This window comes from Homo sapiens, chromosome 3, assembly GCF_000001405.40.
Source record: "Homo sapiens chromosome 3, GRCh38.p14 Primary Assembly".
NCBI classification, from domain to species: Eukaryota; Metazoa; Chordata; class Mammalia; order Primates; family Hominidae; genus Homo; species Homo sapiens.
Genome location: NC_000003.12, coordinates 136741553 through 136768018, shown reverse-complemented (window position 1 = coordinate 136768018; position 26466 = coordinate 136741553). Strand labels below are relative to the sequence as shown.

Here is a 26466-nt window from a genome sequence, read left to right as displayed (position 1 = left end):
TTTTGGGGGATATATTTCAGTCCATAGTACCAATCAATTCCATCATCCTTATAGTTGCTATTTCCCCCATGTTTCTCAAATGCTTAATACATCATATCTGTAAATATATACTCTTTTACTGGTGTATCAACCCAATTGACCATGCATGAAAGTTTTAACAATTGGACTGTAATCTTGTGATAGGGGTCCTCATTGTCAGGTGGGCAGCTAGTGATCATGCTCCAAAGTCCCATCTTAGTGCCTGCTTTCTCATACCTCACTCCTGCCACCAACTGTCATAGGTTGGGTTCCTGGGAAGCAAACTATGAAACAGAATTTAACAGGCAGGTTATTTATTAAGGAGTGCCCTTGGGGTTAGCACTTGTGGAACAGAGGGGGAAGGACACGGATTGGGCAGAGAGAGATTATGCAGATTACATAGGGAGTCTGGGATGTTACAATTGACCTTTAGAGTTGTCCCAAGTTGGGCTAAGATGGTCAAGCTCTTATACCTTCACGTTAAGGTTTTGCTTGTTTGTTTGTTTTGTTTTGTTTCTGTGTGTGTGTGTGTGTGTGGTGGGGTGGGACGGGGGACAGCATTTGGCTCTGTTGTCCAGGCCGGACACAATCTTGGCTCACTGCAACCTCCACCTCCTGGGGTCAAACCATCCTCCCACTTCAGCCTCCCATGTCCCTGGGACTGCAGGCTCATGCCACCATACCTGGCTAATTTTTCTATTTTTTTAGAGATGGGGTTTTGCTATATTGCCCAGGCTGGTCTCAAACTCCTGAGCTCAAGCCATCCACCCACCTTGGCCTCCTGAAGTGCTAGGATTATAGGCGTGAGCCACCATGCCTGGCCTCTTATACCTTCACTTTGATCAGCAATTGCATGTGGGCCACTTGGGAAGGAACCTAACCTTGAGCAAGGTGGCGCTCTGCAAATGTAGCAATTCTGAAGGAACCAAAGACTTACCCAACAGTGAACTCAGTAGCTAGAAGAAGTCCTTAATTAAAAGGAGAGCTTGAGGGAGTGCACAATGGCTAACACCTGTAATCCCAGCACTTTGGGAGGCCGAGACAGGCAGATCACTTGAGGTCAGGAGTTCAAGACCAGCCTGGCCAACATGGTGAAACCCCTGTCTCTACCAAAAAAAAAAAAAAAAAAAAAAAAAAAAAAAAAATAGCCAGATGTGGTAGCACGTGCCTGTAGTCCCAGCTACTTGGGGTGGCAGGTGGATCTTTTGAGTCTGGAAGATTGACGCCGCAGAGAGCCGAGATCATGCCACTGCACTCCAGCCTGGGTGACAGAGTGAAACCTTGTCTCAAAAATAAAATAAAAACATCAGGAAAGTTTACATAAAGTTGCTGTTGATTTGCTAAATGTAATAGTCTGATCATGACACTGAATAAATGTCTCAAAAAAAGACAAAAACTATGTATGGATGTCCATTAGAAAGTAAATGAAAAAATTGTAGTATAATCATGCAATGGACTACTATAGCAGTACTGAAAAGGAATGAACAGTTAATTCACACCACATGGATGAATCTCAAAATAATTTTGTTGAATAAAGAAGACAAAAAAGTACATGATGTATTATTCCCTTTATATAAAATTCTAGAAGATGCAATTAATCTGCAGTGACAGAAAGCAGATCAGTGGTTACCTGGGGATAAGATAAATAAAGGAGGTTTGGGGAAGACAGTTTACAAAGGATGATGAGGCAACTTTTGGAGTTGATGGATATATTAATTGTTATTCTTATTTTTTTTTTTTTTTGAGACAGGGTCTCACTCTGTCACCCAGGCTGGAGTGCAGTGGTGCGATCACAGCTCATTGCAGTCTTGATCCCCCTGGCTCAAGGGATCCTCTCACCTCAGCCTCCCAAGTAGCTGGGACTACAAGCATGTGCCACTGCACCCAGCTATTTTTTTGTTTATTTTTTTCTAGAGTCAAGGTCTCACTATATTGCCCAGGCTGGTCTTGAATTCCTGAGCTCATGCAATCTTCCTGCCTTAGCCTCTCAAAGTGCTGGGATTACAGACAGACATGAGCTACCATGCCTGGCCTATATTCATTATGTTGATTGTGGTGATGGTTCCATGGGTATACATATATGTCATAGTTCATCAAATTATAAACTTTAAATATGTGCATTTTTGTTATATGTCAATCATATCTCAATGAAACTGTATCAAACATCTATATATATATAGTACTATATACTCAGTACATGTCTGCCTAGCTGTCATTGACAAAGTATATTCACTTTTAGTTTATTGATTGCTTACGTTAATTCAAAAAAATTGCAATTCTGATCATGAAAAGTTGTTACTAAATTTTTATTTCTAAAATGTTATATCACTAAGATTAAAGAGAAAGCCTAAAAGCTTCTGGAAATGAATAATAGTGGCTACCTCTGGAAAGAAAGCTAAGATTCTAGTGCGCAAGAAATAGGCAAGTAACTTTTTACTGTTTGAATTGGTAACGTGTGTAATATTTATATTAAAAAGTTCTTTTTTCAGAAATAACTTGATTGGGGAGGGTGGGGCTTGGGGAAGAAGAAATAACTTGACTATGAAATATATGTAATGAAAGATTGCAAAAGTGATCTGAATATGTTTCCATAATATATTTTAACCTAGAGATGATTTATAGCTAACTAAGTTAATTAAACATGAAAGGAAAAATTTCTGGTGGTAATGAGGGGATTAAAAAGTTAATTATTGGCCAGGCACAGTGGCTCATGCCTGTAATCCTAGCACTTTGGGAGGCCAAGGCAGGCAAATCACTTGATGTAAGGGGTTCAAGACCGGCCTGGCCAATATGGTGAAACCCAGTCTCTACTAAAAACTACAAAATTGGCCAGGCATGGTGGTGCATGCCTGTAATCCCAGCTACTTGGGAGACTGAGGTAGAATTGCTTGAACCTGGGAGGTGGAGGCTGCAGTGAGCTGAGATTGTGCCACTGCACTCCAGCCTGAGTGAAAGAGTAAAACTCCATCTTTAAGAAAAAAAATAATTAATTAATTATCTATTAAGACCACACTTCCATCCAATTTATCAGTATCACTGAAAACTAGAATGTATTATACTACATAATGCCTTGAAATTTTGAGGGAATGTAAATTCGAACTAAGTCAGAGTGACCAGCAGAATGAAGATATTTTCAAATATCCAAAAACTGGAAGTTTATCTCCCATTCTTTCATAAGTAGCTGGGGATGTTCTCCAGCAAATAAGAAGATAAACTAAGAAGACTGTATTAGTCCATTTTCACGCTGCTGATAAAGACATACCTGAGACTGGACAATTTACAAAAGAAAGAGGTTTAATGGACTCACAGTTCCACATGGCTGGGGAGGCCTCACAATCATGGCAGAAGGTGAAAGGCATGTCTCACATGGCAGCAGACAAGAGAAGAGAGCTTGTGCAGGGAAACTCCCCTTTATAAAACCATCAGATCTCTTTTTTTTCTTTTTTCTTTTTTTTTTTGAGACGGAGTCTCGCTCTGTCACCCAGGCTGGATGGAGTGCAGTGGCGTGATCTCAGCTCACTGCAAACTCCACCTCCTGGGTTCACACCATTCTCCTGCCTCAGCCTCCCGAGTAGCTGGGACGACAGGCGCCCACCACCACGCCCAGCTAATTTTTTGTATTTTTAGTAGAGACGGGGTCTCACCGTGTTAACCAGGATGGTCTCGCTCTCCTGACCTTGTGATCCGCCCACCTTGGCCTCCCAAAGTGCTGGGATTACAGGTGTGAGCCACTGCGCCGGGCCAACCATCAGATATCTCTTGAGACTTACTCACTATCACGAAAATAGCACGGGAAAGACCCACCCCCAAGATTCAATTACCTCCTACTGGGTCCCTCCCACAACACGTGGGAATTGTGGGAGCTACAATTCAAGATGAGAATGGAGTGGGGACGCAGCCAAACCATATCATTCTGCCCCAGCCTCTCCCAAATCACATGTCCTCACATTTCAAAGCCAATCATGCCTTCCCAACAGTCCCCTAAAGTCTTAGCTCGTTTCAGCATTAACTCAAAAGTCTACAGTGCAAAGTCTCATCTGAAACAGGGCAAGTCCCTTCTGCCTATGAGCCAGTAAAACCAAATGCAAGTTAGTTACTTCCTAGACAAAATGGGGGTAAATACAGCCATTCCAAATGTTAGAAATTGGCCAAAACAAAGGGGCTAAGGCCCCATGCAAGTCTGAAATCCAGCAGGGCAGTCAAATCTTAAAGCTCCAAAATGATCTCTGACTCCATGTCTCACATCCAGGTCACCTTGATGCAAGAGGTGGGTTCCCATGGTCTTGGGCAGCTCTGCCCCTGTGGCTTTGCAGGGTACAGCCTCCCTCCTGGCTGCTTTCACAGGATGGCGTTGAGTGTCTGCAGCTTTTCCAGGCACATGGTGCATTCTGGGGTCTGGAGGATGATGGCCCTCTTCTTCTCACAGCTCCTCTAGGCAGTGCACCAGTGGGGACTCTGTGTGGGGGTGCCCACCTGACATTTCCCTTCTGCACTGCCCTAGCACTGAGTGCCCCACCCCTGCAGCAAACTTCTATCTGGACATCCAGGCATTTCTATACATCCTCTGAAATCTAGGCAGAGGTTCCTCGATTCTTGACTTCTGTGCACCCACAGGTTCAACGGCATGTGGAAGCTGCCAACGCTTGGGGCTTGAACCCTCTGAAGCCATAGCCTGAGCTGTACCTTGGCCCTTTTTAGTCATGGCTGGAGTGGCTGGGACACAGGGTACCAAGTCTCTAGACTGCACAGAGCAGAGGGACCCTGGGACTGGCCCATGACACCTCCAGGCCTGTGATGGGAGGGGCTGCTGCAAAGGTCTCTGATGTGCCTTTTTTTTTCTTTTTTGAGATGAAGACTCTCTCTGTTGCCCTGGAGTGCAATGGTGCAATCTTGGCTCACTGCAACCTCCGCCTCCTGTGTTCAAGTGATTCTCCTGCCTCAGCTTCCAAAGTAGCTGGAACTACAGGCATGTGCCACCACAAATTTCTGCAGCCTGCTTGAATTTCTCTTTAGAAAATGGGATTTTCTTTTCTATCTCATTGCCAGGCTTCAAATTTTCTAAAGTTTTATGCTTTGTTTCCCTTTGAAAACTGAATGCCTTTAACAGCACCCAAGTCACCTCTTGAATGCTTTGCTGCTTAGAAATTTCTTCTGCCAGATACCCGAAATCAGCTCTCTCAAGTCAAAGTTCCACACATCTCTAGGGCAGGGACAAAATGCTGCCAGTCTCTTTGCTTAAACGTAACAAGAGTCACCTTTGCTGTAGTTCCCACAAGTTCCTAGTCTCCATCTGAGACCACCTCAGCCTGAATTTCATTGTCCATATCATTATCAGCATTTTGGCCAAAGCCATTCAACAAGTCTCTAGGGAGTTCCAAACTTTCCCACATTTTCCTGTCTTCTTCTGAGCCCTCCAAACTGTTCCAACCTCTGCCTGTTTCCCAGTTCCAAAGTTGCTTCCACATTTTTGGGTATATTTTCAGCAGTGCCCCACTCTTCTGGTACCAATTTACTGTATTAGTCCATTTTCACACTGCTGATAAAAGACATACCAGAGACTGGGCAATTTACAAAAGAAAGAGGTTTAATGGACTCATAGTTCCAAGTGGCAGGAGACCTCACGATCATGGCAGAAGTGAAAGGCACATCTTACACGGTGGCAGACAAGAGAAGAGAGCTTGTGCGGGGAAACTCCCCTTTACAAAACCATCGGATCTCATGAGACTTATTCACTATCTCGAGAATAGCACAGGAAAGACTCACCCCTCATGATTCAATTACCTCCCACAAGGTCTCTCCCACAACACATGGGAATTGAGAGAGCTACAATTCAAGATGAGATTTGAGTGGGGACACAGCCAAACCATATCGAAGACATAGATACTAGAAAAGAGTGGCTCTAACTTTGGAGTGCAGTAAAGGGAAGTCCTCAGTGGTACAGCAGAACTAAAGAACAATTAGATTAAATGGAAGCAGAAGGCCAAATGTTCTTCAGGGGTATGTACCAGGGGGCAAAAGAGAGAGCATCTCTGTAAATGGAAAAACTTGATATGATAAATTAGATAAAATATTCAGGAGGCAAAAGGGTAATTTAAAACTCCAGGAAAAACAAAGCCATACAAGTTTGCTTTTTTGTTTTTGTTTTTTTGAGACGCAGTCTTGCTCTTGTCACCCAGGCTGGAGTGCAACAGTGCGATCTCAGCTCACTGCAACCTCCGCCTCCTGGGTTCAAGTGATTGTCCTGCCTCAGCCTCCTGAATAGCTGGGATTACAGGCACCTGCCACCACGCTCAGCTAATTTTTGTATTTTTAGTAGAGACGGGGAAGTTTGCTCTCTGTTGTTGTTGTTTTGTTTTGTTTTTGAGATGGCGTCTGTCACCCAGGCTGAAGCACAGTTGTGCTATCATGGCTTACTGCAGCCTTGAATTCCCAGGCTCAGGAGATCCTCCCATCTTAGCCTCCTGAGTACCTGCGACTACAGGTGTGTGCCACCATGCCCAGCTAATTTTTTGTATTTTATTTTTGGAGAACCAGGATTTCACCATGTTTTCCAGGCTGGTCTTGAACTCTCAGGCTCAAGTGATCTGCTACCTCGGCCTCCCAAAGTGCTAGGATTACAGGCGTGAGCCACTCTGCCCAGCCCGTTTGTGATCTAAATATGAAGCAAAGATATTTGGGCAATTGTTAATAAGGGAAGATAATCCATTTGATCCTGATGCTTTCTATATTTTCCTTTGAGTGGTTTTCTAGTGGTTTTCACGGTGGTTCAGTGGTTCTGTAAAAGAGAAGATGTAATCCTAGCACACTCCTTAGTCTGGAAGTTGGCTATTAACTGTGTCAACCTATGGACAAAACACAAAAGACTTCTTGTGTTTAAGGGAGGTGAGAAAAAGGTGTGAAGGAAGAATGGTGGTGTTAATAGTGGAGAGTTGTAATACTACCTAAAGTTGAAATGTTATCTAGTGTTTTATCTTGTATTATTCAGAGTTACAAAGAAGCGTGGTGGCTCATGCCTGTAATACCACCACTTTGGGAGGCTGAGGCAGGCAGACCACCTGAGGTCAGTTTGAGAGAAGCCTGACCAACATGGTGAAACCCCGTCTTCACTAAAAATATAAAAATTAGCTGGGCATGGTGGCCCACACCTGTAATCTCAGTTACTCAGGAGGCTGAGGCAGGAGAATTGCTTGAACCTGGGAGGAAGAAGTTGCAGTGAGCCAAGATCATGCCACTGTACTCCAGCCTGGGCAACAGAGGGAGACCGTGTCTCCAAAAAGGAAAAAAAAAAAAAAAGTTACAAAGAAAACCAACAAAAGACGCAAACTTAATGCAACTGTTAAATATTGGACCAGTGGGTATTAACATAATCTTTATCCTTTGTAGCAGGGAGTCATTAGATTTTATTTAAAGTTGAATGAGCATATTTAGAAATATTGAAGTAATTCCAAACAAACAAAAACATGTAAAAGATGTTGTCCTTGGGCAGTGGCCCTGGCGGTAGAGTTAGGATGAAGCTTGGTTGCTTTTCAACGTTATGTTTTTTTGTCCTGTTTGATATGTTACAATTTATTTTGTATCCTTTAATTTGTTGCCATTGTGCATTTCTTTTACAGAAAATAAAATTAGAGGCTGGTTTTTCTGCCTATATGGAAACAATGTTTTAGATAGCTATTCTATCAAGAATGATTCCCAGGCCGGGGTGCAGTGGCTCACGCCTCTAATCCCAACACTTTGGGAGGCCGACGCCAGCAGATCACCTGAGGTTAGGAGTTTGAGACCAGCCTGGCCAATATGGTGAAACCCTGTCTCTACTAAACATACAAAAATTAGCTGGGTGTGGTTGTGTGCACCTGTAATGCTAGCTACTTGGGAGGCTGAGACAGGATAATCGCTTGAACCCGGGAGGCGGAGGTTGCAGTGAGCCAAGATCATGCCACTGCACTCCAGTTTGGGTAACACAGCAAGATTCCGACTTTAAAAAAAAAAAAAAAAGGATGATTCCTCAAAGTAGTCCAGGCCTCATACAGGTCTTTTGAAATAAGCCATAAAGTGGAATCCCAAGGACATCAAGAAACTTGGACTAAGAAAACGGTTGTTCTACTGGCACTTGAGTCTCTAAATAATAATAACTCTTAGCTCCTACCCACACTAGTTCCAGCCCTCTGCCTGTGAGTTTTTTTTTTTTTTTTTTTTGAGATGGAGTCTCGCTCTGTCACCCAGCCCGGAGTGCAGTGGCATGATCTCGGCTCACTGCAAGCTCCGCCTCCCGGGTTCACACCATTCTCCTGCCTCAGCCTCCCAAGTATTTGGGACTACAGGAGCCTGCCACCACGCCCAGCTAATTTTTTGTATTTTTAGTGGAGACGGGGTTTCACCGTGTTAGCCAGGACGGTCTCGATCTCCTGACCTTGTGATCCGCACCGCCTTGGCCTCTCAAAGTTCTGGGTAAGGATTACAGGCGTGAGCCACCGCGCCTGGCCAAAATTTCTTTTTAAAAAAATATCTGAGCAATTCCGATCCTCTGCTTTTTGAGAATAGAGTTTTGCCTATAACCAGGTTACTGATTCTGAAAGGGAAGGTATTCTGGATCCCTCTTACCATCTTATTACCAAGAACGGGGCAGAATTTATTGATTTAGTTATACATCTGTCTGTCTGCCTATCTGAGAAAGGGTCTTGCTGTGTCACCCAGGCTGGAGTGCAGTGGCATGATCATGGCTCACTTAAGTGATCCTCCCATCTCAGTCTCACAAGTAGCTGGGACTACAGGTGTGCGCCATCCTGCCCAGCTAATTTTTTATTTTTTATACAGATGGGGTCTCCCTATGTTGCCCAGATTGGTCTTGAACTTCTGGCCTCAAAAGATCTGACTGCCTCAACCTCCTAAAGTGCTGTGATTACAGGTGTGAGTCACTGGGCCTGGCTGCTTGCTCAGTTGTAGAAAGAATAGTGTTTTTAGGCTGGGCGCGGTGGCTCACGCCTGTAATTCAAGCACTTTGGGAGGCCGAGGCAGGCGGATCACCTAAGGTCAGGAGTTTGAGACCAGCCTGGCCAACATGGTGAAGCCCTGTCTCTACTAAAAATACAAAAATTAGCCGGGCATGGTGGCAGTCACCTGTAATCTCAGCTATTCGGGAGGCTGAAGCAGGAGAACTGCTTGAACCCAGGAGGCGGAGGTTGCAGTTTGCTGAGATCGCGCCATTGCACTCCAGCATGGGCAATAGAGTGAGACTCTGTCTCCAAAAAGAAAAAAAATTAAAAAAAAAAAGGAAAAATAATGGTTTAAATCCAGTAGGGAGGACACCATGGCATATTACTGCCACCAATTGGCAGCACACCTTAATTGCAAGAGTAGAAAAGAAGGGAAAATTATTTCTGATAATTGCAAAGGTCTACCAACGTAAGAAAGAACAAATGCCTTGTGACCAAGTGAAAAATGCAAAGGAATACTTGATTTGGGGGAGATTAAGATGAGACAGTGGTCATGATCCCTGAAACACAGGGTTTGTGGAGGTGGTAAAAATGAAGGGTGAGGAAGCTTGATCAGAAGACCTCTCTTTGCTCTAGATATCGAGCAGTTGCACTTGGAACTCTGAAAAAGGGGAAGGAAAGGGAAGAATGACGAATCAAATTTTACTTTTCTTTTTTTTTTTGAGACGGAGTCTCACTCTGTCAGCCAGGCTGGAATGCAGTGGCGCAATCTTGGCTCACTGCAATCTCTGCCTCATGGGTTTAACCGATTCTCTTGCCACCTGCCTCAGCCCCTCGAGTAGCTGGGATTACAGGTGTGCGCCACCACGCCCGGCTAATTTTTGTGTTTTAGTAGAGATGGGGTTTCACCATGTTGGCCAGGCTGGTCTCAAACTCCTGGCCTCAAGTGATCTGCCCACCTTGCCCTCCCAAAGTGCTGGGATTACAGGCATGAGCCACCGCGCCCGGCCCAAATTTTACTTTAAAAATCCTTTCTGTGTAAGAAATATCACCATTATCCTCACGCAAAAAAAGTTGATTTAATGTGTCTTACTCTAACTGTAAGGCCAATAGAATAACTGAAATCTTTTGTGTGCTAAAATTATCCAGAGAGAAAAAGACATAAGTCTGGCCCAAATTTTAAAGAAACTGTGCAATCTACACAATCAGAAACTCATTCTTTGGGTTATAAAGCAAAGTTCTTCATGTTATTGGTTAATAAATGTTAATTAGAACTAATGCATTTTCAGAAACACAATTTGGTATATTTGCAAGGAAAACAAGAAAAGCAATCTAAAGCTCCCAGTAAAACAACACTATATAAAAATCTTTTAAACTATTGCAACCCCTGTTCAATGTCTTCCCATTTCATAGGCTATAGAATGCATTTTTTTTTCTATTTATAACATTAAATATCTACTTTTGGACCAGGTTGGCTAAGAGATTGAGTTGAATTAAAGTTCTGATGGGCATGTGTCTGAAGAATTACATTATTTTTCATATCGTAGGGGTGAAGGGAAAACTTTTATATGTAATAACAAAGGGAAGTTTTCCCTCTGCTGAAGGTTTGCTGAAAAATTAACTGACGACAGTCACATTAGGCTGGGCGCAGTGGCTCACACCTGTAATCTCAGCATCTTGGGAGGCCAAGTTAGGGAGAATTGCTTGAGTCCAGGAGTTTGAGACCAGCATGGACAACACAGTGAGACCTCATCTCTACAAAGATTTTTTTTTTTTTTAGTTAGTGGGCATGGTGGTGTGTGCCTGTAGTCCCAGCTACTTGGGAAGCTGAGGCGGATCGCTTGAGCCCAGGACTTTTAGGCTTCAGTGAGCTGTGATAGTGCCACTGTACTCTAGTCTGGGTGGCAGAGTGAGATCCTGTTTCAGAAACACCAAACTTTTTAAATTAACGTGTGTGTGTGAATAATCCAGAGTGATTACCTATTATTTAGTGTGGTAAAGAAACTTATATACCCTTTTTCATAAGGGAAGGGGGAGATGGAGAATGTAGAAATTCTTTTGAGTGACAGCAAGTCATTAGGGAGAACAAATGGACCTTGGAGGTGGAAGGCAGACATTAATGGGAAGGTGAGGTGTAGAGCTGCACAGGAACAAAGATTGTCTTATTATGCAGAGAAAGTCCTCCAGGTAATCCCTTGGGGCTGCCCTCAGAAGAACAGATGAAAAGTCTGTCAGGTCATAGTGACTGTCAATCTATTCTCTAGTGGTTGATATTTCCTGGTTGTTTGATGAGATTACTAGGGAGGGAGTTTTACAACATTGCATTTCTTCTTTTTATTTATTTGTTTTTTTTTTTAGACAGAGTCTCGTTCTGTCACCCAGGCTGCAGTACAGTGGTGCAATCTCAGCTCACTGCAACCTCCGCCTCCCAGGTTCAAGCTATTCCCCTGCCTCAGCCTCCCCAGTAGCTGGGACTACACGCATGCGCCACCATGCTCAACTAATTTTTGTTTTTTTAGTAGAAACAGGGTTTCACCATGTTGGCCAGGCAGGTCTCAAACTCCTGACCCCGGGTGATCCATCTGCCTCGGCCTCCCAAAATGCTAGGATTACAGGCATGAGCCACCATGCCCTGCCCTGCCAACATTGCCTTTCTTTTGGAAAAAAGCTTTCTTGGTCAGATAAGGAAATTCCAAAGAGAGTGTACCCTTGGTGCTTCGGGAAAGAGGATCAGGGAGACAGGGAAAGGTAAGAGACAGACCTTGGTTCTGAGGCCGTTCAATTTTCAAAGCATTGAGCATGCTGAAGTGCTGTATTTTGGGGAATCGTTTTACTGTGCCTCAATAATATTTTGATCATATGTATGACTTGAAGCTGTTAATAAAAATTGTGATGTTTGAAAATCCTTGCCAAGAGAATTGGAATCTTGATTAAGAATTTCATTGGCCAGGCGCAGTGGCTCACGCCTGTGATCCCAGCACTTTGGGAGGCCGAGGTGGGCTGATCACCTGAGGTCGGGAGTTGAGACCAGCCCGGGCAACGTGGTGAAACCCCGTCTCTACTAAAAATATAAAATTAGTTGGGCGTGGTGGAGTATGCCTGTAATCCCAGCTAGTCTGGAGCCTGAGGCAGGAGAATCGCTTGAACCTGGAGGCCGCGGTGAGCCAAGATCGCGCCATTGCACTCCAGCCTGGGCAACAAGATCAAAACTCTGTCCAGGGAGGGTGGGGGTGGGGAAGAATTTCTTAAAAGCAGCCTCTGCTTTTATGTGTAATTCTGTAACAAAGTCAACATGTTATGGGACCTTTATTACTTTATCTTACCAGATAGGTAAAGGATGAATAAATCTGCCCTTCACTTACATTTATGATTAATCAGACAGGTCAGCTAGTGTGAATAATTTCTAATGAAATAGAGAAAAAAATGAAAAAATATCAAGGCATGCCTTGAATGTCATTAACTATTTTAGATGATATCTTTTAAGCCATAGGAATCACAGAACGCTTTTGTGTAGGTATAACAATGTTGCATTTTAAAAAGAGAAGTGAAGCAGGAGTGGGGAGTAGAGGGAAGGTGGGTCAATGGCACCTACTTCTGGACCTAGCAAGGCTGAGGTGTGAGAATCACTTGAGCCCAAGTCAGAGGTTGCAGTGAGCTATGACTGCACCACTGCCCTCCAGCCTGGGCAACACGGCAAGACCCTGTCTCAAAAACAAACAAACAAACACAAACAAAAGGGAGGTGAATGAAGGGAGAGGTGTTTACAAGGCTAGTGCAATAGTTTTGGTGTAAGGCAATGGGAGGGGAGAAGGGTTTGAATAAGGATGGCAGCAGTAGAAAAAAAAGCAAGCCATCTGAATGAGGTATGGTGGGACTTAGGCTTTTTTGAAAGAAAATAATCAAGTCTGGCCCTACAATTTAGAGCCTAGGCTGCTATGTAATTATTTATAAACAATTTATAAAATTGATTATAAAAATGACTTATAATCAATTATTAAGTGTGAGGGCAAAATACAATTTTAGATTTCTATAAACTTAGAAAGTTGATTACCCATGCCCTCAGAGTTAAAAAAATGCTAAAAACTTCTTAGTAAGATTAAAAACAATAAATGTAATAATGCTGATGGCATTTCTATAATATATTAAATAGTTTAAATATTAAATAGTTAAATAGTTTAACACTCGTAACAACCCTATGAGATTGGTACTGTTGCTATTTCCATTTTGCAGTTGAGGAAATTGAGACAGAAAGAGATTTGTCTAAGGTTACAAAGCTTTCCAGAGCAGTCTGGTTTCACAGTTCATGTTCTTAATCACTACACTAGCTGAAATTACAATGTTAGGATAAATTAGGAAATTCAAATAAGAGAGATGAATTATTTTAAGTGTTTGAGCTGCAGCTTTCTGGCAAGTAGCTGAACACGAGGAAACTCAGTTAAGGAAAAATCAAGAACAGACTAATTTTGGGAGACCTAAGAGAAGGCATGTAGTAGAGAACAGATTGAAGAAAGAGGAGGTGCTAGCAAAGAAATCAGAAGACCAGCAAACTAGGTAGGTGTAGATCCGGGGAAGTGTCTTAAAAGAAAGGGAAAAAGGGTTTCAAGTAGGGGATGGGGATTGGTGAAAACCGTAACTGTTTCTTTTGAGAATGTGTCAATGAAAGGAACGTTGATAGCATAGCAACTGGAGGGAGTAACATCACTGAATTAAAAAAAAAAAAAAGACAAAAGAAACTTTTTTTTTTTGAGACAGAGTCTCACTCTTATCGCCCAAGCTGGAGTGCAGTGGCGTGATCTCGGCTCACTGCAACCTTCACCTCCCGGGTTCGAGAGATTCTCCTGCCTCAGCCTCCCGAGTAGCTGGCATTACAGGCGCACACCAGCACGCCTGGCTGTTTGTATTTTTAGTAGAGACAGGGTTTCACCATGTTGGCCAGGGTAGTCTCGAACTCCTGACCTCATGTTATCTGCCCGCCTCTGCCTCACAACGTGCTGGTATTACAGGTGTGAGCCACCGCACCCAGCCAAGACAACAGAAACTTCTGAGAAACAGAAAGGAAGAAGACAGTGGATAAGAACATATTTACATTATAAGGCGCTAGGAAAGTAGTGGTGGAAGGAGAAGGTGGGAAGGGATGGCATAGTTTCAGGCAGAGGGAGTGGCTTTGGAGAGAAGGGTTCTGGGTTAATTTGGTTAGAAGTTTTGGGATCACGAACAGGAGGTGGTCACAGATATTTTATAATGGAGGCAAGGTCAAACCGGAATTGGAGTCCCATAGCTCTGAGCCCAGGAAACTGGATGAATTTATCTATTAGTATGGACTGGGACTGGCATCTTTAACAACATGGAAAGCTTGAAACAGTCTTTGTGGAAAATAGGAGATCAGCCAGAGATTAGAAGAAAACGCAAGAAAATTATAAGTAGGAGTCCAGTCACGAATTCATATCCAATCTGGTCAGTTATGACTTCCTCCAGCGAAAAGCCACACATCTTGCAAACCCTTGAGAGAGAAAACACAAATAGGGGTAACCTACTGGAGACAGGCCCTTAAGACTATAAAGTAGTTGAGCGATTCCATACTGAAATAGAGTTGGCTATAGCGATAGAGAAGTTAGTCATATATGGGGCTAATGATCCAGGAGAGTAAGGATTCACTTTTGTGGTGAAAAGTTGTAAGCAGGTGAAAGGTAGGGATCCATGGCCACGGACGGGCAGGTGGAGATCAGGGAAGAGGCGACGTTAAACATAAATAGTTTGTTAATGATTTCACCTTACTGATTATTTCTCTTTTGGCATCTAGAAGGCTAAGATTCTCATGTGTATTTCAGAGCTACTGAAAGTAGTCCTAGGTTGTGGAGGGAGAAATCCACTTTCACAGCTGAGTCTATCTTCTCAGTCTAGTTATATTCTCCTCTCACAAACTAGCCAATGCTGCCGCCTTATGCAAAGCCGACACCACGGAAAGATGTGCTTTACAGAGGCAGGATGACGCCAATCGGCCTAGGGCCGGCGGTGTTTCGTCTAGATTAATGGCGAGGGAAGTCCCCAATAGTCCTTTTGAAACCTTTTCACTCTTGCCTGGTGAAAGCGCTTGTCAGCCGTAAATCGCGAATACAATGCTAAGCTCTGAGGCCCTTGCTAAATCCAAGTAGGAGCAGGGATCTGCGCGGCCTCACCCTCGGGTTTCCGCAGGGCGTCTCGAGAGCTGCGGATGGGGGCAGCAGGAGCCGGGCGGGAACAGAGGAAAGCGCCGGCCCTGAGACCTAGGGAGGAGCCTCGGTGAAGGAACCCGGGGCGGGTTCCTGCCTAGATCTCCAAGAAGCTCCAAAAATGGCGGGCGGCAACTCGGCGAGCCGGACGCGCAGGCGCCACCGTGGCCGTCCTTCCGCCAGCCGCGGGCGGCCCAAGAACCGTCCACAGCGCCCTTATCCAGAAGCCTACGCCTCTCGCGATTGGCTGAACTGCGCGAGCGCTCCGTGTGGGGGCGGGGCCGCCACGCAGCGGCCACGTTTCCCGCCCCGCTGGTGCGCGTGCGCGCAATCCCCACTGGAAAGCGTTTGCGCGCGCCCCTGCCGCGGCCCCTAGCTCGCGCCTCAGCTCCCTCCCCTTTCCGGGCAGGCCCGTCCCGTCAGCAAGGCAGTGAGCACCGCGGCCAGCAGAGGGCGGTCCGGACCCAAGTCTGCAGCGGCGCCATTGGCGTGTGGAAAATGCCACCAGATGGCGGGTTAGGATTGCAGCTCCGTTGAAGGCGCGGCCCCCGCTCCCGAACCCCCGGCGACCACCCCGTAACAACCCCCCCACATCGGGAATAACACACCGGAGACTTTTGGGGGGAAACTAGGTCGATGGTCGGCGGCGCCCGGATGGGCAGCTGAGGTGAGTGCGGGCGGCGGCGACGGCGGCGGGGGGCGGGAAAGAGGGGGAATGCGGCGGCAGCGGCGCGGGGGCTGGAAGCGCCGATCCAAGATGGAGGCCGGGCGAGAGCGAGAGAGCGCGAGCGGCGAGCGGGCGGGCCGGGCGCGGGCCCCGTGCGGGGGAGGGAGGCCGCGCGGGCCTGTGCGGGGTGCGGCGGTCGTGGGCCGTCCGAGTGCCCGGAGAGACGTCTGTGGGCGCGGTGGGCACCCCGGCGTCTTCGTCGCTTGCCACCCCTCCCGCGGGCACCAAAAATTTTGCCCCCGCCCGCCCGGGCACTACGGCGACAGGCGCGGAAGCCTTTGTGGCGCGCTCGGGCCCGCCGCCAAGCCCGCCCTCCGCCCCCCCCCGCCCGGGCTCTCGGGAGTCGCCCGCGCCCAGCGGGGCCGGGCCGACGCGGGCTGGCGCGAATGCCTTCCGCCGCCTGCCGACCTGCGTTTCTGCGGTGTTTTAGCGGCGGCGGCGTCACATGACAACGAGTTCATTTCAGCGGAGGGGCCTGGGGGGTCGCTCGGCGGGGCGGCTGGCCCAGGCTTCTTGTTGGCGGGGTGGGGCAGCGGGGTGGCGGCTGGGGGAGATGCATCAATGCTGGGCTTTCCAGCTATCTGCCCTCTCAGCCCCCGACGGGGGCCTCCTTGTGAAACGTGTCCAGGCCTAAGCACTGCCCCGCTAGTTTGCCAGTCCCCTGAGAGACGAGGCCAATAAAAGTTGTTTTCCCTCCTTTCTCGAGGTGGGGGCGGGGTGGGAAACTAGAGTGCTTGGAGTTGGACCTGAGCCCCGTTTGCAGGGTCCGAACTGGGTTCTTCTTGTATGGTATGGGTACTAAGAAATTTTCAGGTTTTAGGATTGTCACGTCACCCCCATCTACCCACATTTGAAATGTTATCTGTCGATTCTCTTCACATTGCAGGGAATCGTGCTCCGGGAGTATAAGTCATAGGATAGTTTTGGACACTTACAGACAAAAAAAAAACAAAAAAAAAAAACGCAATTTGTCATAAAAAAAAATTATTTGCTGTTAAAGTTGGTGTTAAGATGGATAGAGTTTATTCTCGTGATTCTGACTAGAAAGACTTGCATCTTCGCAAAAATAGTGTTTACTTGAGAAAGTATCTGAATTGGCACAAAGTTGTGTGATTTGTAACTTATCTGGAATTTGAATGACTCTACATTTTAGTTTTCCTCGTGTTTTAAGAAAATTGCACATTCCGATGGTGAAGCACTTAGGGAAATATACAGAAGAGTGAAAATAAAAATAACTTGTTTATTGTATGGTAATGTAACGTACCTTGTTCTAATATTCATAATGTATGAGGAATTCAGACTGAAAAATTTTAACCAAGTAGGGAAATATGGAATGGAAAGAAGCAGAAATGTTATTTCCTTGCTTTTGATGATTAAGAATACTTATAAGACAAATTGTTACCCAAATAAAGTTGTAGAAGATCTACAGGTGTTTTGCCACGCATTTTCCTTTACATATTTAAAACGTACTTCGAGTAAACTAAATTAATTCAAGTGATCTACCAGTGGTCATTTTCACAAACGAACTGCTTTTGAGTGGAAATTTTTCTGTATCCACTTCAGTTTCGATGTTCTGATAAGGCTAAGGAATATTTAAATAGATGCAAAATATGGAAGTTTGTTGTGTTACTAGGATTGCCTCCTTTGAAGAGACTAATAAAATGACTGTAGATTTGATTGGCTCTTTTAAAGCCTTAAAGGCACTATGGTGTAGGGGAGAAGGAGTGGGTCCTGGACCGAAGTTACTTTGAACGTCCCCTGGGTTTGTGGTGTTCAGGGTGTTACCTTTGAGCCTTACTTTCTTTATCTCTAAAAATGGGGAGCTGGGCCCAGTGGTGCACTCCTGTAGTTCCAGCTACTCTGTAGTGAGGCAGGAGGAACCCTTAAACCCAGGAGTTTGAGGCTTACCTGGGCAACATACAAGACTCCATCTCTTTAAAAAAATAAAATAAAATGGGGATAGTATCTTACGGTGATTGTGTAACAAGATGTCTGTGAAAAACACACATTTAATTGCTGTAACTTAAAATTTACAGAATTTTGTACAGTTTTAATCTTTTTTTCCTTGATTCTGACTCTGTGTATGTTCATAATCTCAGTGCTGTGAGAAGAAATAATGTACTCTGGGAAAGATACGTTCTTGTTTCCCCTTTTATTTGTTGTTTTGTCCTGTATCTTTATATCTTTATTTAGGGGGGTATATTAGTTTCTTTCTTTTTTTTTTTAATGCATAACAAATTTCACACTTAACAGATTAACAATTATTTCAGCTTCCATAGGTCAGAAGTTTGGGGAGGTATAGCTGAGCATCTCAGGCTAAAATCAGGGTGTCAGCTGTGATTGCAGTGCATATCTGAGGCTTAGAGTTGTTTTTCTTTTTTTTTTTTTTTGAGATGGAGTCTCATTCTGTCACCAGGCTGGAGTGCAGTGGTGTGATCTCGGCTCACTGCAACCTCCGCCTCCTGGGTTCAAGCGATTCTCCTGCCTCAGCCTCGCAAGTAGCTGGGTCTACAAGTGCGTGCCACCATGCCCACCTAATTTTTATATTTTTAGTGGAGACGGGGTTTCACCACGTTGGCCAGGATGGTCTCCATCTCTTCACCTCGTGATCTGCCCACCTCAGCCTACCAAAATGCTGGGATTACAGTTGTGAGCCACTGTGCCCGGCCAGAGTTGTCTTTCAAGGTCACTACTTGTTGGCACAATTAATTTCCTTGTGATAGTGTGACTGAAGTCCCCATCTTCTTGTTAGCTGTTGGCCAAGGACTGCTCTCAGATCCTTGCCGTGTGGCCACATAGTTCACAACATGGCTGTTAGCTTTTATCCATGCTAGCAGGAGTCAGTCTCCCTATTTCCTGTGTGTCTGACCTCTGACTCCCCCCTTTAAGGTCTTTTTTAAAAGCTCACCAGCTAAGCTCTGAGGCCCTTGTGGTAAACTTAACTGATTAAGGGCCTTAATTACATATGCAAACATATATTTTGTCATATAATCACCGTAATGATATCCCGTTATATCTACAGGTCTCTCCCACACTCAAGGGGAGGGCATGATACAAGGGTGTGGGTTAGTGGAGGCTTTTAAGAATTTTGCCTGCCGTAGGAAAAGAAGTATCTTCACATTTACCTCTTCAGATTCCGGACATACAAGGAGAGGACCTAGGCAGAGCAGTAACCCCACTTGATCAGCTTACTCTTACTTATATTGCCTTTTCCTCACCTTTTTTCCTTTCCCGTTTCCTGGTACCTTAGTTTACATGCCTTCCTCTATGAAATAATTTTATTGCATTGAGAGGAAATTAAAAATAAAAACGAAAATTTAAAACGTTATAAAGAAGGGAGGCAATGGGAGAAGGGAGTTTGTATAATTATTTTTTCTTTCATTTCTGCCACTAAGAACACCTTTTTAAAAAATTTAAAAAAATTACTATTATTGGCCTGGTACAGTGGCTGACACCTGTAATCCCAGCACTTTGGGAGGCCGAGGTGGGTGGATCACCTGAGGTCAGGAGTTTCAGACCAGCTTGGCCGTGGCCGACATGGTGAAACCCTGTCTATACTAAAAATACAAAAATTAGCCAGGCGTGGTAGCACTTGCCTGTAATCCTACTACTCAGGAGGCCGAGGCAGGAGAATTGCTTGAACCTGGGAGGCGGAGCTTGCAGTGAGCTGGGATCACGCCACTGCACTCCAGCCTGGGTGACAGAGTGAGACCCCGTCTCAGGAAAAAAAAAAAAATTTATTATTTTTTGAGTGTGCCCCGACCAGAGTGCAATGGCATGATCTAGGCTCACTGCAACCTCCACCGCCTGGGTTCAGGCGATTCGCGTGCCTCAGCCTCCCGAGTAGCTGGGACTGTAGGCATGTGCCAGTACACCTAGCTAATTTTTTATATATTTGGTAGAGACAGTGTTTCACCTTGTTGGCCAGGCTGGTCTCTTGACCTGAAACTCTTGACCTGAAACCGTCTGTCCACCTTGGCCTCCCAAAGTGCTGGGATTACAGGCATGAGCCACCGTGCCCGGCCAGTTATTTTTATTTTTTAAAAATTACATAATTCTTGGCCAGGCGCGGTGGCTCACGCCTGTAATCCCAGCACTTTGGGAGGCCAAGGTGGGTGGATCACGAGGTCAGGAGATCGAGACCATCCTGGCAACACGGTGAAACCCTGTCTCTACTAAAAATAGAAAAAATCAGCTGGGTGTGGTGGCGGGCACCTGTAGTCCTAGCTACCGGGGAGGCTGAGGCAGGAGAATGGTGTGAACCCGGGAGGCGGAGCTTGCAGTGAGCCGAGATTGTGCCACCTGCACTCCAGCCTGGGTGACAGAGTGAGACTCCGTCTCAAAAAAAAAAAAAAAATTACGTAATTCTTGCCATTCTTTGATGCCTTTTGTTTTACCTGTTTTTGATATGATATTGAATCTCAGAGAAGTTAAGGAATTTATTTTTTATTTTTTGAGACAGGGTCTCTCTCTGTCACTCAGGCTGGAGTGCAGTTGTGCAGTCACAGTTCACTCACTGCAGCCTCAACCTCCCCAGGCTCAGGTGGGGCCTGGAGTAGCTGGGACTACAGGTGCATGCCACTACGCCCGGCTAATTTTTGTATTTTGTATAGAGATGAGATTTTGCCATGTTGCCTAGGCTGGTCTCAAACTACTGGCCTCAAGTAATCAGCCCGCCTTGGCCTCCCAAGGTGCTGGGATTACAGGCGTGAGCCAGTGTGTGTGGCCGAAGTTAAGGAATTTAAATGCCTTGGATCACACTCCTCTTAAGTGGCAGAGTCACACAATCATTGCGTCAGACAGTTGCTGTGGTGTGATTGGTCTAGCAGCTTTTGAGGAGAGAATTCTTTTTTTTTTTTTTTTGGGACGAGTCTTGCTCTGTCGCCCAGGCTGGAGTGCAGTGGCATGATCTTCGCTTACTGCAACCTTCGCTTCCCAGGTTCAAGTGATTCTCCTGCCCCAGCCTCCTGAGTAGCTGGGAATGCAGGCACGCACCACCATGCCCGGCTAATTTTTTTTTTTTTTTTTTTTTTTTTTTTTTAGACAGTTTCACTCTTGTTGCCCAGGCTGGAGTGCAGTGGTGCAATCTCGGCTCACTGCAACCTCTGCCTCCTGGATCCAAGTTATTCTTCTGCCTCAGCCTCCTGAGTAGCTGGGATTACAGGCATGTGCCACCACACCCAACTAATTTTGTATTTTTAGTAGAGACAGTGTTTTTCCATGTTGGTCAGGCTGGTCTCGAACTCCTGACCTCAGGTGATCCGCCTGCCTCGGCCTCCGAAAGTGCTGGGATTACAGGCTTGAGGCACTGTGCCTGGCTGCCTGGCTAATTTTTGTATTTTTAGTAGAGACGGGGTTTCAGCACCTGCCTAAGGCCAGGCTGGTCTCGAACTCCTGACCTCAGGCAGTCTGCTTGCCTTGGCCTCCCAAAGTGAGCCACTGCGCCCGACTGAGGAGAGAATTCTTATGAAGAGAATAGTTATTTGCAAGTCTCAGAGTAGGGGTATTATTGGTGGAACAAAGAAGGCAGCAGAAGTTTAGTCATGGCATACGGTTTAGCAGTCCAAGAAGCAAAATATTTTCATGAAGAGGCAATTAAGACAGGTTAGCCAAGGATAATCAAGCTTTAAAGCAAGCTTGTCCAACCCGTGGCCCAACACAATTTTATACACTTTCTTAAAACATTGTGAGTTTTTTTTTTTAGCTCATCATTTATAATTAGTTTATTTTACAGGTGACCCAAGAGAATTCTTCCAGTGTGGCCCAGGGAAGCTAAAAGATTGGACACCCTTGCTTTAAAGGATATAACTGGGAATTAAAATTGCTAGGGAGATATATTTTAACACAGAAATGATATAATAGGGGCTTGGTAAATTTTTGTTGACTGAATAAAAATATAAATCTTTAGAATTTAGATGATTCTTGCTAGAGTGGTAGGGAAAAACTAGGAAGCAGAGAGCTAAAATGATATTCTTGCATAAGCCACAGAATGAGGTGATTCTTGAAGGAATTAGAATTGTGTCTGTAGGAAGTTTTCTGTTATTTTGGTGGTTAAGGGGACAGTCAGCTTCCTGCCTTTTAGTGCTGAAAGTGTCTTATAATTCAGTTGGTTTTATAGAATCTTTTCTTTATATAACATACCCCTTATTGCTTCCCTCAGATTTTTCTCCTCCTTTTCTAAATCAAGCTTGTCCAACCTGTGGCCCATGGGCTGCATGCAGCCCAGAATGGCTTTGAATGTGGCTCAACACAAATTTCATAAACTTTTTAAAAACATTATGAGGTTTGTTTTGTTTGTTTGTTTTTTACCTTATTAGCTATCATTAGTGTATTTTATGTATGGCCTACAGCAATTCTTCTTCCAATGTGGCCCAGGGAAGCCAAAAGATTGGATACCTGTGTTCTAAATCAAGGGTCCCCAACCACTGGGCTGTGGACCCATACTGGTCTTTGGCCTGGTAGAAACTGGGCTGCACAGCAGGAGGTGAGAGGCAGGTGAGCTAGCTTTATCACCTGTGCTCCATCCACCTCCTGTCAGATCAGTGGGAGCATTAGATTGTCATATGAGTGCAAATTCTATTGTGAACTGCACATACAAGGGATGTACGTTGCGTGCTTTATCTAATGCATGATGATCTGAGGTGGAACAGTTTTATCCTGAAACCTTCTGATTCCCCACCCCATCCGTGGAAAAATTTTTTTCCACGAACCTGGTCCCTGGTACCAAAAACGTTGGGGATGGCTACTCCTTTTTGCCAGTCAGTAGTGAAGGATGTCATAAATCTTGCCTTCTTCCCTGCCCCCCGTTTGTTTTTTATTTATTTTTAATTTTGTGAGTCCATAGTAGGTGTATGTATTTATGGGTTATGTGAGAATGTCTTACCTTCTTTATGAAATACATTCCTTTGTGCTATGGGCCAAAATGATGTACCATTTAGTTGTCCAAGAATTTCAATGGAATTTTGCTGTAAACATAATAGCAATGGCTTTTAACTTGTTTTCTAGCTTCTGCTAGCAGTTACAAAAACATTTTACATTGTAGCCTAGTACAAACACACACATCCACACACAATGAAAATAAGTTTCATGAAATAATACTTTATCTTTATGCAGTGCACTCTGATATTTTCTGATCTTTTCTATTAGGAATGCTGGTTGTGGCTGGGCACAGTGGCCCACACCTATAATCCTAGCACTCTGGGAGGCCGAGGCGGGTGGATCACTTGAGGTCAGAAGTTGGAGACCAGTGTGGCCAACATGGCGAAACCCCGTCTCTACTAAAAATACAAAAATTAGCTGGGTGTGGTGGCATGTGCCTGTAGTCCCAGCTGCTCGGGAGGCTGAGGCACGAGAATTGCTTGAACTCTGGAGGCGGAGGTTGCAGTGAGCTGAGATGGCACCACTGCATTCCAGCGTAGGTGACAGAGTGAGACTCTGTCTCAAAAAAAAAAAAAAAAAAAAGATGGTTGCAGTTTACCTAAGAAATGTCACGACTCACAGCAGCTAACACTGGGAAAAGCATTGAATTGTAATCTCATTGGTAAAAAGGAAAGTGCAAAGTAGAGCCATGAGAAGAAACCATTTCACTTCCATCAGATTGACAAGCATTAAAAGTCTGATAATGTCAAGTATTGGTGAGAATGTAGAGAAATTACATTCTCACTTTTGTCAGCAGTGTAAATTGATACAATCATTTTCTGAAAGATGTTAGTAAGATAGTAAATTCAAGCTTCATGTATTTTAACCCCAGCAGTTGTACTCCTGTCTTTATATTCCTGATGAATGAAATCCTTGTATTTTTATTTTGGAGACGGAGTTTCGCCCTTGTTGCCCAGGCTGGAGTGCAATGGTGCAATCTCGGCTTACCGCATCCTCTGCTTCCCCAGTTCAAGCAATTCTCCGGCCTCAGCCACCCGAGTAGCTGGAATTACAGGGATGCACCACCATGTCTGGCTAATTTTGTATTTTTAGTAGAGACGGGGTTTCTCTATGTTGGTCAGGCTGGTCTAGAACTCCTGACTTCAGGTGATCTGCCTGCCTCAGCCTCCCAAAGTGCTGGGATTACAGGCGTGAGCCACGTGGCCAGCCAAAATCCTTGTATTTTTGTACCAGGATGTGTGAACAGAATGTTCATAGTAGCCTTATTTGCAGTAGCCAAAATTCAGAAATAAACCGTATGTCTTTAGTGGTAGAATGGTTAAATTAATGATGGTTTTCAAAAGTTAAAATAATTTTGGTTACTGGGATAAGCCAACTTGGTCACAGTGTATTATGTATCCCTTTTGTATTTACTATTATTTTGATAGGATTTTTGGCCTATTTCTTCACTAGGCATATTGCTTTATAGTTTTATTGTAATGTCTTTGTCAGGTTTTGGTATTTGGGTTATGATGGCTTCATAAAAAAGGTTGGGACGTGTTCCCTGTATTTACTGAAATAGTTTGTGTAATAGTGTTATTCTTCCTTGAATTTTAGAATGTACCAGTGATAAGCCATCTGGACTTGGAATTTTCTTTTTGGGATGGTTTTGATAACAAAATCAAATTTAGTTTCTATACTAGATATAGGGCTATTCAAATTTTCTGTTTCATATTGTGTCAATTTTGGTCTGTTTCATCTTGTATCAGTTTAGGGAAATTGGTTCATTTTACTTAATTGATTGGCAGGAGTTTGTAAGATTTCCTTGCTATCCTTCTAATGTCTGTAGGATCTGTAGTGATATCTCTTCTTTAATTTCTGGTATTGTTATTATTATTTTTTTTTTTTGAGAAGGAGTTTCATTCTTGTTGCCCAGGCTGGAGTGCAGTGGTGCAATCTTAGCTCACTGTAACTTCCGCCTCCTGGGTTCAACTGATTCTCCTGCCTCAGCCTCCCGAGTAGCTGGGATTACAGGTGCCCTCCACTACGCCTGACTAATTTTTTGTATTTTTAGTAGAGACAGGGTTTCACTATGTTGGCCATACTGGTTTTGAATTCCTGGCCTCAAGCTGTTCACCCTTCTCGGCCTCCCAAAGTGTTAGGATTACAGGCGTGAGCCACTGCATCTGGCCAGTATGTTCTTTTTATCTTGACCAGTCTAGTGATTTATCGGTTATTTTTTCAAATAACCAACTGAGGTAATTGTCAGTATTTGTCTTTAGTATCTCATTGGTTTCTGCTTTTTAAAATTTTCTTCTGCTTTGCTTTCTTTCCAGCCTTTTAAAGTGAAATTTTAGGTTATAGATTTTAGGCACTTTTTGTTTTCTAATAAATACATTTAAAGCTATATATTTTTCTCTAAGCACTGCTACATTACTCAGACTTTGATGTGTTTTATGTTTATAATTTACCTTGACATTCTTTTTAATTTGTGATATCTTCTTTTACCCATGGATTACTTAGAAGTGTGTGGTTTAATTTTCTTTTCTTTTTTTTTTTTTTGAGATGGAGTCTTGCTCTGTCACCCAGACTGGAGTGCAGTGGCGCAATCTCTGCTCACTGAAACCTCCACCTTCCAGGTTCAGGTGATTCTCCTGTCTCAGTCTCCACAGTAGCTGGGATTACAGGCGCACACCACCACACCCAGCTAATTTTTGTATTTTTTTAGTGGAGACGGGGTTTTGCCATGTTAGCTAGGCTAGTCTTGAACTCCTGACTTCAAGGATCCGCCTGCCTCAGCCTCCCAAAGTGCTCAGATTATAGGCATGAGCCACCGTGCCCAGCCTTGTTGTTTAATTTTCAATATTTGGGATTATTCTAGATAACTTATTACTGATTTCTAACTTAGTTTCATTTTGAGTCATATCTTTATGATTTTAATCCTTTAAAATTTATTGAAACTTATTTTATGGGCCAGCATATGGTCCATCTTGGTTAATGTATCTTTTATACTTGAAAGTGTGTTTTGCAGTTGTTGGGTGTAGTATTCTGTAACTATCAATTAGGTTAAGGTGTTTTAATAGCACTTTTCAAATAATCTATGTATTTGTTGTTGTTTTTTGTTGTTGTTGTTTTGTCTCATTCTATCAGCTGCCAAGAAGAAAGTTAAAATATCCAACTATGACTGTGGAATTATCTGTTTTTCCCTTAATTCTGTCAAGTTTTTCTCACTCATTTTGAAGCTCTGTTGTAAGACATGTACAACTTATGATTATTATGTTGTTTTGACAAATTGACCTTTTTATTGTGATGAAATGTCTCTCTGTTTCTGGTAATAATCTTTTCCTTGAAGTCTGCTTTATTTGATGTTAATATAGCCACTCCAGCGATCTTGAGCTTACTGTTTCCATAATATATCTTTTTCTACCTATTTACCCAAAACTCTTCATTATATTTAAATTGCTTTTGATGGTAGTATATAGTCGAGTATTGCTTTTTAAAAAATTCCTGGCCAGGCACAGTGACTCATGCCTGTAATCCCAGCACTTTGGGAGGCCGAGGCAGGCGGATCATCTGAGGTCAAGAGTTCAAGACCAGCGTGACCAACGTGGAGAAACCCCATCTCTACTAAAAATACAAAATTAGCCGGGCATTGTGGTGGGCGCCTGTAATCCCAGCTACTTAAAAGGCTGAGGCAGGAGAATCGCTTGAACCCGGGAGGTGG

The 26466-nt window shown here is 44.2% G+C and overlaps 1 protein-coding gene and 1 long non-coding RNA gene across 3 annotated transcripts in view, besides 6 other annotated features; one reads left to right on the top strand and one right to left on the bottom strand.

Moving 5' to 3' along the window:
* Nucleotides 1–12178: 12178 nt before the first annotated feature.
* STAG1-DT (STAG1 divergent transcript) lies at nt 12179–15348 on the bottom strand. The gene has a single exon (NR_185911.1). It is a non-coding gene; the product is annotated as an STAG1 divergent transcript (long non-coding RNA).
* Nucleotides 14333–15264: an enhancer, noted in NCBI's record as "H3K27ac-H3K4me1 hESC enhancer chr3:136471597-136472528 (GRCh37/hg19 assembly coordinates)". NCBI's record gives its function as "activates a minimal SCP1, AML or CMV promoter by ChIP-STARR-seq in primed H9 embryonic stem cells {active_cell/tissue: H9 hESC(primed)}" and the evidence as "EXISTENCE:reporter gene assay evidence [ECO:0000049][PMID:30033119]".
* Nucleotides 14333–16317: a biological region, named in NCBI's record as "hESC enhancers GRCh37_chr3:136470665-136471596 and GRCh37_chr3:136471597-136472528".
* Nucleotides 15058–15377: an enhancer, noted in NCBI's record as "active region_20587". NCBI's record gives its function as "activates an Ori minimal core promoter by ATAC-STARR-seq in GM12878 lymphoblastoid cells {active_cell/tissue: GM12878}" and the evidence as "EXISTENCE:reporter gene assay evidence [ECO:0000049][PMID:35858748]".
* Nucleotides 15265–16196: an enhancer, noted in NCBI's record as "H3K27ac hESC enhancer chr3:136470665-136471596 (GRCh37/hg19 assembly coordinates)". NCBI's record gives its function as "activates a minimal SCP1, AML or CMV promoter by ChIP-STARR-seq in primed H9 embryonic stem cells {active_cell/tissue: H9 hESC(primed)}" and the evidence as "EXISTENCE:reporter gene assay evidence [ECO:0000049][PMID:30033119]".
* Nucleotides 15388–15617: a silencer, noted in NCBI's record as "silent region_14759". NCBI's record gives its function as "represses an Ori minimal core promoter by ATAC-STARR-seq in GM12878 lymphoblastoid cells {active_cell/tissue: GM12878}" and the evidence as "EXISTENCE:reporter gene assay evidence [ECO:0000049][PMID:35858748]".
* STAG1 (STAG1 cohesin complex component) overlaps nt 15641–26466 on the top strand; it is a 416143-nt gene continuing 405317 nt past the window's right edge. For both annotated transcript variants that reach the window (XR_001739978.2, NM_005862.3), the window contains exon 1: nt 15641–15824. The gene's annotated coding sequence lies outside the window, so the exon portion shown is untranslated. The remainder of the gene's footprint in view (nt 15825–26466) is intronic.
* Nucleotides 15938–16317: a silencer, noted in NCBI's record as "silent region_14758". NCBI's record gives its function as "represses an Ori minimal core promoter by ATAC-STARR-seq in GM12878 lymphoblastoid cells {active_cell/tissue: GM12878}" and the evidence as "EXISTENCE:reporter gene assay evidence [ECO:0000049][PMID:35858748]".